The sequence below is a fragment of the Homo sapiens genome, chromosome 4, assembly GCF_000001405.40.
Source record: "Homo sapiens chromosome 4, GRCh38.p14 Primary Assembly".
NCBI lineage: Eukaryota > Metazoa > Chordata > Mammalia > Primates > Hominidae > Homo > Homo sapiens.
The window spans coordinates 88,394,727-88,407,584 of NC_000004.12; the positions used below are offsets into that span (position 1 = coordinate 88,394,727).

General features: G+C 40.1%; 1 protein-coding gene across 6 annotated transcripts in view; it reads left to right on the top strand.

The window, feature by feature from the left end:
- HERC6 (HECT and RLD domain containing E3 ubiquitin protein ligase family member 6) overlaps positions 1-12,858 on the top strand; it is a 64,246-nt gene that overhangs the window by 15,875 nt on the left and 35,513 nt on the right. For 5 of the 6 annotated variants that reach the window (XM_005263083.5, XM_011532053.4, NM_017912.4 and 2 more), the window contains exons 6-10: positions 1,289-1,416; positions 2,125-2,261; positions 3,416-3,483; positions 10,150-10,271; positions 10,828-10,887. In XM_005263083.5, coding sequence (XP_005263140.1) covers positions 1,289-1,416; positions 2,125-2,261; positions 3,416-3,483; positions 10,150-10,271; positions 10,828-10,887 — 515 coding nt within the window. Of the gene's footprint in view, positions 1-1,288; positions 1,417-2,124; positions 2,262-3,415; positions 3,484-10,149; positions 10,272-10,827; positions 10,888-12,858 lie in introns of those variants that run through there. The other variant, XM_047415866.1, reaches the window with a different exon arrangement.

The following is a 12,858-nucleotide window of genomic DNA, read 5'->3' on the forward strand; positions in this document are numbered from 1 at the left end:
TAGAGACAGGGTTTCACCATGTTGGCCAGGCTGGTATCAAACTCCTGACCTCAAATGATCCACCCACCTCAGCCTCCCAAAGTGTTGAGATTACAGGCATGAGCCACTGCGCCCGGCCCCTTTAGCAATTATTCATTGACAATGTGATTCTACAGATAAAAATTATTATAGAAGCAACAAAGTAATTTTTACAGTTTTCAATAATCCACTTTACAGCCTAGAACATTATTTCATTTCATTTCTTGCTTGGCATAGGTATGACACAGCTTCCTGAATGTTTTCTTCCCATTCTTGTCCTCACCATACAATATATTCCAAAGGGATGGATTCTTTCTGGAGCCATAAGGAATAGACTTGAAAACTACTTGTGTAGTTGAAATGTTTGTTTAAAAACTATATGCCCCCAATTATTTTTGTTTGTTTTAAATGCATATCTTAAATTAGAAAACCCTCAATTGTTTGGATTATATTATTCTCAATATAAAGAATAAATAGAAATAAATAGAATAAATAGAAATAAAGAGAAAGCTAGAGTTGTTTGTAATCATAGAATGTTTTGGGAAGACAGTATTTTTAGGAAAATGCTCAAATAAATTCAACCTCATACTTAAATGTTGGTTTTACTCTTGAACCAGTTAATTTATCTATTCATTCAATAAAGACTTATTAAGTACCTAATTCTTTCTTTTTCCAGCTTTATTATGGTATAATTGACAAAAATTGTATATGTTTATGCTATACAATATTATGTTTTAATACCTGTGTACATTGTGAAATGATTACCACAATCAAGCTAGTTAACATATGTATCACCTCACATACATATCTTTTTTTGTGATTAGAATCTTTAAGATCTACTCTCTTAGTAATTTTCATATATGAAACACATTATTAACTATAGTCACCATGCTGTACAATACATCACCAAGGTGCCCAGTTTTTAAGGAAATGCTAATGATTTTTTTTTTTTAAATTTGTGTAGAGATTGGGTCTTGCTATATTGGCCAGGCTGGTCTCAAACTCCTGGCCTCAAGTAATTCTCCTGCCACAGCCTTCCAAAGTGCTGGTATTACAGGTGTGAGCTACTGTGCCTGACCCCAGTGATTTTTCATGTTTAATGTGTTAACTCAACATACACTATTAGAAAAAATAAAGGATCTCTCCTATTTATGTAGAGCTTGTGTTTCACAGAGTGCTCCCGTATTAACTCTTGTATGACACTTAATCAGTAAGCTTTTAGTTACCTTGTTAAACCTGAAATTAATTTGATTCTTCCTTTGCTAAGCAGGACGGGAAAGTGTTCACATTTGGAGACAATCGCTCTGGACAGCTGGGATACAGCCCCACTCCTGAGAAGAGAGGTCCACAACTTGTGGAAAGAATTGATGGCCTAGTTTCGCAGATAGATTGTGGAAGGTAATAGGCTTCTTCTTCTTCTTTTTCTTAGCATGTGTAGAAAGTGTTATATTTTATTACTTAGAAATGACTCATATGGAATGTTATCAAACCTTAAAATTCCTGCCTGAAAATTTACTTATTTCAAATATAGTTTAATTTTTCAGTTTTTAATCTTTATTCTAGATATTTTATTTATTTAATAAGAAATAATTGGAAGTCTACTGTGTATAGAACACTGTACCAGGTGCTGGAGAATGGGAAGTAGATTGATAAAAATAGCAGAGCTTTCCTGCTTAAGTTGATAAGACAAAATTAAAGTAAATTAATCTCATGCATGCAGAAGATGATGTATATTTACATATATATTTTCGGAGTTCTGCGTAACCTAATTATGAGGACACTTTGAGTGTTTAAATATCTACCCAATGCATTAAAAAAGAAAAAAAATAGAAATGCCTGCATTTAGAACACAAATGATAGAAACCATAGTAAAGACCTATCAATAACATTCTGTTTTTAAGATTAGTAGTAAGTTAATATTGACTGACCGTCTGTTTAGCCACATCCTTTGATGCCCTCTAACACTGACATTGTGATAAGGGAGCTGCGTACTTAGTAAAAGTAAATTGGGCTTTTTGTGTTTGTTATTTTGTCTTAAGGGACATCATCTTTCTCAAAAGCCATGAGTGCCTTAGTCTTCATTATGGTGTATTCTCTTTCCTGTAGTTATCACACCCTGGCATATGTGCACACCACTGGTCAGGTGGTATCTTTTGGTCATGGACCAAGTGACACAAGCAAGCCAACTCATCCGGAGGCCCTGACAGAGAACTTTGACATTAGCTGCCTGATTTCTGCTGAAGGTGTGAATCCCACTAATTCATGATTTTGTGTTCATCAATGCCACTGGAAGAGAACTAGTATTCAGCTTCCTTTCAAAGGATCCTACAGAACTGTAGTTCCCCTAGTACTTTTATTTTTATTTTTATTTATTTATTTTTTTTTGAGATGGAGTTTCGCTCTTGTTGCCCAGGCTGGAGTGCAATGACGTGATCTTGGCTCACCATAACCTCCGCCTCCTGGGTTCAAGCGATTCTCCTGCCTCAGCCTCCTGAGTAGCTGGGATTACAGGCATGCGCCACCATGCCTGGCTAATTTTGTATTTTTAGTAGAGATGGGGTTTCTCCGTGTTGGTCAGACTGGTCTTGAACTCCTGACCTCAGGGGATCCACCAGCCTCGGCCTCCTAAAGTGCTGGGATTACAGGCATGAGCCACCGCGCCTGGCTGTACATATATATATGGTGCATTTTTTTCTTATGCAGTGACTCTTAGGGTATTTGGTAATCATTTCTAAAGATTAAGGTAAGTTCAAGACCAGCCTGGCCAACAGGGTGAAACCCGTCTCTAGTAAAAATATAAAAATTAGCCGGGCGTGGTGGTGCAAGCCTGTAATCCCAGCTACCTAGGAGGCTGAGGCAGGAGAACCCCTTGAACCAAGGAGGTGGAGGTTGCAGTGAGCCGAGATCGTCCAGCCTGGGCAACAGGGTGAGACTCCATCTCAAAAAAATAAAATAAAATAATAAAATAAAAAAGATTAAGGTAATACAGAAGACTATCCTAACTTGATTACTTAAACATCAGAACAATACACTTTTTTTCCATAAAGTGAAAGCAAGTTTATTAAGAAAGTAAAGAAGCAACCAGAACAATCCACTTTCATATATTTAATCAAATCTCTTCTAAAGCATGGCCACCTGGCTGCATTATGCAAGTGCATGAAAAACTAAATTTTAGACTAAGTGAATATATGACATGTAATCTGATCAAAACTGATCTTTTATTTCAATATGATGGGAGGGAAAAAAAGAAAAAAATTAATCTTTTATGCATTTGTAGTCAAAATCCATTTAGGAGAATATAAATTGCCAGTAAGTAAATAAATTTTTGGCTTGATAATACATCAGATTTATTTTTACTTCTAGAAACTCTAAGCATGGATTTATGACTTTCTTTTAGACTTCGTGGATGTTCAAGTCAAACACATTTTTGCTGGAACATATGCCAACTTTGTGACAACTCATCAGGTATCTATTATACTTTTTGTTCCTCTTAAAAATTATTTTTTCTCAAGATTTCAGACCGGTATTTGAAATACTGTATTATTCATACATATTCAGGTCTTTTACTAAAACAATAAGGTCCTATATTAGAATGCTTATGAAAAAAATATTACATAATTCTCACTTCCTTATTTGTCAACTTTCCTAACAGATTAGACCCCCCCACCACCACCATTTCAGATTTATTTTTTCTTTATGGGTAAGTGTGTTTGTTGAATTTGCATCATGTAAATGCACATACACATGTAACTTGTGTCAACAGCAGCTGTTTCCATCTTCAGGAGGGAACTGAATTTTCCCTGTCCAGGACTGTGAAGGAAGGGTTTCTGACATGTCCTGGAGGGAATTTCCCAGTGGCACCTCCTTCAGTAGGAGGATTGCCATGTGTGTGAGTGTGCAGGGGTGTGTGTAGCAGGGGTGGCATGTAGCGTCTCAGCTGTCCTGTGTTGCAAGGGTCACATCACCGAGTCCCCAACTCAAGTTTATTGCTTAATAAAATTAATGATGATAGATAACAGTCATGACTAATTTTAACTGCAGTCACCAAGTGTCAGGCAGCAATCGAAGTTCTTCAAATGGATCAAGATGTTTAATGCTCATATCAACTCTCGTTGATTTTATTTTTCACATTGACAGATGAAAAAACGGAGTCTCAGAGAGGTGAATTTATGCAAAGTTGCACTGTTAGTAAGTGGTAGAGCTGGATTCAAATCCAGGCAGTCCAACCCAGTAGCTTACACCATTATCCACCATGCTATAGTGCCTTCCTAATTGTTAACAGGAGGGATTTTATTATTACATTTCTGGGTGAGTTCTGAAATATGTTTATGGAAACAAAGGCCTTCATAGTTATTTTTCTAATTTGTACTTTTTCCTATTATGAGGAATGTTTTAAAATTGATGTTTAAACTTGATGTTTAAAACATTCCTGACGACAGGAAAAAGTACAAATTAGAAACATAATAGACTCTGTCTGTAGTCCCTGGCACAGAATGTGGTCAGAGGCAAAGGTTTCTGTGCTGTTGGGATAGTTAGGAGACTATACTTTGGTTGCTCTATCATAGCCATTCAATCAGCCACTCAACAAAAATTGAGACCCTTTTTATATATCAGGCTCTGCTCTTGGTGCCTGGGACAAAAGTGAATAGTACAGACAAAGTTACCCTCATTCATAGCATTTGGACTCCACAGGCAGGGCCGGACCATAAATATGTAAATGCAAAATAAATAAGATTGTATTAGAGGCCCGGCATGGTGGCTCACGCCTGTAATCCCAGCGCTTTGGGTGGCCGAGGCAGGCGGATCACTTGAGGTCAGGAGTTCGAGACCAGCCTGGCCAATGTGGTCAAACCCCATCTCTAGTAAAAACACAAAAACTAGCTGGGAGTGGTGGTACGAGCCTGTAATCCCAGCTACTTGGGAGGCTGAGGCAGGAGAATTGTTTGAACCCAGGAGTGGAGGTTGCAGTGGGCTGAGATCGTGCCATGCACTCCAGCCTGGCGCACAGGGCAACACTTTGTCTCCAAAAAAAAAAAAAAAAATTGTATTAGATAGTGACAAGTACTCTGAAGAAAACACATTGATTGTTTGAGATTGGTGAGGTGGCCTTCTTTAGAAATGTCTGTCAGAAAAGGCCTTGTAGAGGCTGTGACAGTTGAGCAGAGATTTTAGCCATGCTTAGGTCCAGAGAAAGAATGCTCAGAGCAGAGGGAACTGCACACAGAAAGCCTGTGAGGCAAGAATGAGTTTGGTGTGTGTGACAGAAGGCCAGTGAGGCAGAACCATAGGAAGAAAGGACAAAGAGCTCGACAAGATGGAGCCAGTTCTGTATGCTGGGGTCAGCTATGTGAGGGGGGACCCATCTGAAATGTGCTTGGAAAGGAGACCTAGAGACTGGCCAAACAAGCCAAGAGAAGAAAGCACCTGTATGGAGGTCCTCTCTTTTGTTTTTGTTTGTTTGTTTGTTTGCTTGTTTTTTTGTTGTTTTGAGACAGGGTCTCACTCTGTTACCCAGGCTGGAGTCTTGGCTCACTGCAGCCTCAAATTCCTAGGCTTAAGCCATCCTCTCGCCTCAGCCTCCCGAGTAGCCAGGGCTACAGGCGCACACCACAATGCCCAGCTGGTTTTTTTTTGTAGAGACGGCGTTTCGCCATGTTGCTCAGGCTGGTCTTGAACTCTTGAGCTCAAGTGATCTGCCCACCTTGGCCTGGCAAAGTGCTGGGATTACAGGTGTATACCACCGTGCCTGGCTCCCAGTAGTACCTCTTATCTACAGTTTTGCTTTTCACAGTTTCAGTTATCCACATTCAACTGTGGTCTAAAAATATTAAATGGGAAATTCAGAAATAAACAACTCATAAATTTTAAATGACATGTTCTGGGTGGCATGATGAAATCTCACACCATTCCACTTCATCCCTTCATCACAAGAAGTAGGGTGAATACAGTATAATAAACTATTCTGAGAGAAAGACAGGGGCACCACGTTTACATATGTTTTATTACAGTAAATTGTTATAATTGTTTCATTTTGTTATTAGTTATTGGTATTAATCTCTTACTGTGCTTAATTTATACATTAAACTTGATCATATGTATGGATGAACAGGAAAAAACAGTCAATATGGAGTTTGGTATTATTTATGGTTTCAGGCATCCACTGGGGGTCTTGGTGGAACACATCCCCCATGGATAAGGGGGGACTGCTGTATTTCCAGAAGGAGAAAGTGGCTAATTCTGTCAAATACAGCCGAGTGGTCAAGTAAGACCAGTGCATAGTTTATTTTTGCTTTGGTAAGATTGTGTTATTGCAGAGGAGAGAGAAGGAAACCTGACCCGAGTGGGCTGGACAGAGAATAAAAGGGGAACAAGTGCAAACAATGCCTGTGACAACTCTGAGAAATTTTGATGTGAAGAGAATAGAGAACTGCGAGAGGGTTTCTCATGCTGCATAAGAAAGAGTGAATAGGCCAGGCATGGTGGCTCACGCCTGTAATCCCAGCACTTTGGGAGGCCGAGGCGGGTGGATCACAAGGTCAGGAGTTCAAGACCAGCCTGGCCAATATGGTGAAACCCCATCTCTACTAAAAATACAAAAATTAGCCGGGTGTGGTGGAGGGCACCTGTAATCCCAGCTACTCGGGAGGCTGAGGCAGAGAATTGCTTGAACCTGGGAGGCGAAGGTTGCAGTGAGCTGAGATGCGCCACTGCACTCCAGCCTGGGCGACAGAACGAGACTCCATCTCAAAAAAAAAAAAAAAAAGAAAAGAAAAAAGAGAAACAGTGAATAATTGCAGAAGCAATGTCTGAGATTAGGAGAGAGGAAGCAGAATCTAACGCGTGATTGAGGGGTTTGAACAGATGTGTTTATTCTGCTGTAATAAGAAACGGTACAGGTGAAGGTAGGTTGATGGTGGGAAGGTGATTAGTTCTTGCTTAATTGCTTCAATTTTCAGTGATGCATAAGACAAGGTCCCCATCTGAGCATGACTAAGCAGAGGAGTATGAAAGGTTTAGGAAGAAAAGGAAGGGTTGTGATAGTTGTCTTGGGGAAAAAGCAGGTAGCCTTGGAATCCATTAGACAATATCACGTGCCCATTTGAAATCTGTGGTCATAGACTTAAAGTGAAATCAGTCTGCACAGTTGTGCAGCTTTCTCCCGTGATGTTAGGCTGCTTCAGTTGGATTTTGGAGTAATTCAGAGTCAAGTTTAATTACAGATGGAACTTTGCTAGGTAAGTACAATAGGAAATGGACAAAAGAGTTATAGGTGTGATTATAGTGATGAACCATGGAATCTAAGCTGGGTAAGGAGGATGAAAGAGGGTGATGAATCATGGACAAACAACAGGGCTAATTGATTGGAGATCCAGGCGGACAAAAGAATCTTGGACTGCAGGTTTTACTCTAAAGGAGGTGAATCTGTAAGATGGTGTATGATGGTCAGAGAAGAGAACATTTCCAATAGAAATTTAGAAGATGGAACAATTGATAATTATAACATCCAGCTTCTCACCTGTATCTAGGGCAGTGGTTTTCAACTAGGGGTGATTTCATGCTCCGGGAAATATTTGGCAATGTCTGGAGACATTGTAGTTTGTCATAACTAGGGGAGAGCATGGTGTTGGGAGTGGCTGCTACTGGCATCTGGTAGACAGAGGCCAGTGATACCACTAAACATCCTATGGTACACAGGACAGCTGCTCACAACAAACAGTTATCTGACCCAAAATATCAGTAGTGTCAGTTTAAAAACCCTGATCCAGGGCATGTGTGGCTGGGGTGGAGCAGAGGAAAATAGTGGAGATGATTAAGAATTGAGAGATGAAGGTGGGAGATAGATCAGGTTCATCAGTTCTGAAGTAACCAAGAGTGAGGGCAGGAAGGGTGACCATGGGAATCGTGGTATGAAGAAGACAGCAAGGTGCCGAAGCTTTCAATGAATGAAGGGGAGTGACCAGGACAGTGGGAGAAGATTACAAAACAAGAAGAGGCAGATGACATAGTCTCATGCTGTGCATTTGGGAGGAGCTAGGGATTTTGAAGCAGAAAATGAAGAAATGGTATGTAACTGCCAAGAGGGAGCACCTCATTGTCCCAAGTTTCCTGGGATGTGGGGGGAAAAACTCTTCCTCTTGATCAAACTACAGGGAAAACCCAGGACTCAGATCAAGAAGCTGAAGGGAACTTTAAGAGCCGTGGTTACCTGTCTTCTTCAAGAGGTCTTTTATTTCAGCATTAAACCAAAATGATGCAGGATTTCCTGGCTCATAACAAGTGCAGTGGAGGCATAGGTATAAGTTATAGCAGAGCACTAATGCCTTTGGAGGACTGTATTGAAAATGGATTTTTCTTTCCAGACAGTGATTTTTGAAACCCCTGTTTGGGCTATTTGGTCTCAAGTATTATATAGAGCAATGGTTCTCAAAGTGTGATCTCCAAACCAACAGCATCAGCATCACTGGAGTATTTTTTAGATGCAAATTCTCACCCTCTACCCTGACCCACTGAAGCAGAAACTATGGGGTGGAGCCCAGCAATCTACTTTAACAAGCTCACCAGAATCACCCACCAGGTGATTTGGATGCACATTACAATTTGAGAGTTACTGACATAAAAGTAAACACTTGTGGGTGATTAAAGGGAACAAGAAAACTAATTATTGAGTGCCTATTATAATCCCAAAGCTTTTTATACTTACTATAATTGAATCTTAAGAACCCAGATAGGCCGGGCGAGGTGGCTCAAGCCTGTAATCCCAGGACTTTGGGAGGCCGAGGCGGGTGGATCACGAGGTCAGGAGATGGAGACCATCCTGGCTAACGCGGTGAAACCCCGTCTCTACTAAAAATACAAAAAATTAGCTGGGCACAGTGGCAGGTGCCTGTAGTCCCAGCTACTCGGGAGGCTGAGGCAGGAGAATGGTGTGAACCTGGGAGACAGAGCTTGCAGTGAGCCAAGATCATGCCACTGCACTCCAGCCTGGGTGACAGAGCAAGACTCTGTCTCAAAAATAATAATAATAAAATAAAAATAAAAAAAATTTTAAAAAGGAACCCAGAGAGGTAGGTATTATTATCTTTTTATTTATTGTGGTAAAATATATATAAATACAATTTGCCATTTTTATCATTTTAAGTATACAATTTAGTGACAGTGACATTAATTACTTTCACAATATTGTTCAACTGTCACCATTATCCATCTCCAAGGCTTTTTCATTACCCCAAACAGAAATTCTGTAACTATTAAATAATAACTCCCCATTCCCTCTCTCCGCCCCCAGCTTTAGGTAATGTTGAATCTACCTTCTGTCTCTATGAATTTGCCTGTTCTAGATACTTCATATAAGTGGAATCATACAATATTTGTCATTTTGCATCTGGCTTATTTCATTCGCTTGTCTTCAAAATTCATCCATGTTGTAGCATGTGTCAGAATTTCATTTCTTTTTTTTTTTTTTTTGAGATGGAGTTTCGCTCTTGTTGCCCAGGCTGGAGTGCAATGGTATGATCTTGTCTCACTGCAACCTCCACCTCCCAGGCTCAAGCCCCTGCCTCAGCCTCCCGAGTAGCTGGGATTACAGGTGACCACCACCATGCCCGGCTAATTTTTTGTATTTTTAGTAGAGACAAGGTTTCACCATGTTGACCAGGCTGGTTTCAAACTCCTGACCTCAGGTGATCCGCTTGCCTCAGCCTCCCAAAGTGCTGGGATTGCAGGCATGAGCCACTGTGCCAGCCAGAATTTCATTCCTTTAAGGCTGAATAATATTTCATTTTATGTATATTTAAAAAATCTATTCATCTGTTTATGGACATGGGTTGTTTCCATCTTTTGGCTATTGTAAATAATGCTGCAGTGAATAATGATCTACAAGTATCTGTTTGAAGCCCTGCATTCACTTTTTTTTTTCTTTTTTAATGATGAAACTAAGGCTCAGACCAAGCAAAGTGGCCCAGGCTAGGAGGTGGAATAGCCCTACCGGTCTGACGCCAAAGCTCCTCCCACCAAATGCTACCACCCAAGAGGGCAGGGCCTATTTACCACCCATGCCAGGTGATTTACTGTATAATTTACTACTGAACGTGTGTGTGTTCCTGATCATTCTTGTTTCTTCCTTCCCTGAAGGATACTAGTTCCACACGTGCTCCCGGGAAAACCCTGCCAGAAATAAGCCGAATTAGCCAGTCCATGGCAGAAAAATGGATAGCAGTGAAAAGAAGAAGTACTGAACATGAAATGGCTAAAAGGTGGCTCTGTCTGATAAATTATAAGCCACTTTTATCTGGTTCTGGGGCTTTGGTCATTTTATCCTAAGATAGAGGTTTTGGTTTTGTTGTGAAGGTATTTGCATTTTGACCATGATTCTCTTCTACAGCCTCTTAGTGTGACTAGGTCATCAGTGTACTCATTTACAGATATATGGAGGACATGTGATATCCCAGGTGACTTACTAGGTGAGGGAGTTGCAGGAGTGAATCAAAAAAGCTCACAAAGCCTTTAATAAGGTGGACTGTTTTCATATCTTCATAGTTTACCCCTTTGGAGTTTTATGAGTTTTGGTCTTCACAGGGATAGGTTTTATTTAAACCTACGTGACTTGAACAAATCAACTATAAAGGGTTTTGGTGAGATTTAGAAATAATATGAACAAAGTATACCCAGGATTTGGGAGACTCTTAAGAGAGTAGTTATTTTCATTAATAATTATTCCACGTCATCATTTACTTATTCAGACATAATAAGATTTTCAAAAGGCATGCTTTATTATATGTTGTGACTTACCCCTTGTTATTACTTTTACAGTGAAATTAGAATGATATTTTCATCTCCTGCTTGTCTGACTGCAAGTTTTTTAAAGAAAAGGTAATACTTACATAAGATTTACCTTCATTTAAAACACTGGAAAATATTTAAAATGAAATGTTTCAAGTAAGTTTAATTTGTGAATTTTGTTATTCTTGCCCACAAAGTCCAACACAGAGAACTCTGTAGGTTGTTATAGAATTCTTTCATTTTATGAAGTAATTTTCTATTAGACTACCATAAGTTATAATTCCTAATTAATATTGTTTACTTCCTTCATACCACTTTACTCTGTTGTCTGATTAGAAGGAATGGTGTTTTTTCAGGATCTTTGTATATACAAAGGATCGGCTAAATCTCACATTGCTTTAGTACTTAGAAGCCAAGAGTACACTTTACAATTTTTACTGTGTATGATCAATTAAAAAATAGATCTTATTTATGTTGTCTTTAACTCACTGCTACAGAAGAAAATCTGATTTTACTCCTATTTGGTTTAACATTTGGTCTGATCCAATAGTTGAAACAGTTCCTGTAATGCTCAATATTTGGGTCTTCTATTTCTGCTCTTTCCTCCAAGCTCTCCAATATGGCACCTGTGTGTAAAAGGGAAGAGAAGGAGAAATAGCAGTGTAGAGGGTCTTAGGCTGCCCTCTGCCTCTTTGGAGGTTGATGCCTTGCTGATCTGTCTGCAGCTAGTGTAACTCATATGGGTTCTCCTTTGCCTGTCCCTCCCTTGTTAACTTGGTGTTAAGTTTGCTCACTGGTTCAAAATATGGTGATACACATCTTGTACCCACTGCTGGTCACTAGGTGGTACTCACTTAACCCTTGTTGCTATTACTTGCCGTTGTACAACCCTCTTGGCAGTCCCATTAGTTCTTAACCCAGCTGCATTCTCAGTCAGCTTGTGGGATTAGAGGAACTGTTGGATGCCAATAACTTCACCTAAGGCTAATTCTTACTGCATGTGGGAAAATCTTTTCTATGTGAAGATTGTTTTCTTCCTAATGTGAAAAAGTATCCATGCTCACTTCCCAGGAGTGAGGAACTCCTAAGATGTCAAAGATTGCGAAAGAGAATATATTTTAAGGGGGAAATTTATAATACTTTGTTTTAGTACTTGCATAAATATTTTAGCCCTAATGTTACTATAAATCAGTTAATCTAGCAAGGAGAAAATCTTTCTTTGTTTTTTTATTATTTATTTATTTATTTATTTAGAGGTGAAGTCTCACTCTGTCACCCAGGCCGGAGTGCAGTAGTGCAGCTCGGCTCACTGCAACCTCCACCCCCAAGTTCAAGCTATTCTCCTGCCTCAGCCTCCTGAATAGCTGGGATTACAGGTGTGCACCACCACACCCAGCTAATTTTTTATGTTTTTTGGTAGAGATGGGGTTTCACCATGTTGACCAGGCTGGTCTCAAACTCCTGACCTCAAGTGATCCACCCACCTTGGCCTCCCAAAGTGCTGGGATTACTGGCATGAGCCACCGCGCCCAGCCTCTTTTTTAAATTTTTATTATTTTTATTTATATTTTTGAGACAGGGTCTCACTCTGTCACCCAGGCTTGAGCGCTGTGGCGTGATCTCTGCTCACTGCAGCCTCCGCCTCGTGGGTTCATGTGATTCTTCCACCTCAGCCTCCTGAGTAGCTGGGATTACAGGCATGCGCCACCATGCCCAGCTAATTTTTTTGTATTTTTAGTAGAGACAGGGTTTCACCACGTTGGGCCAGGCTGGTCTCGAGCTACTGACCTCAAGTGATCCGCCCACCTCAGCCTCCCAAAGTGCTGGGATTACAGGCGTGAGCCACTATGCTCGGCATTTTGTTTGTTTGTTTGTTTGGTTTTGTTTAATGTTTAGAGATGGGGTCTTGTGCTGTTGCCCACGCTGTAATGCAGTAGTTTGATCATAGCTCCCTGTAGCCTTGAACTCCTGGCTTGAGCTATCCTTCCACCTCAGCCTCACAAGTAGCTGGGACTACAGGTGTGCACCACCATGCCTGGCTAATTTTTTTTTTTTTAATTT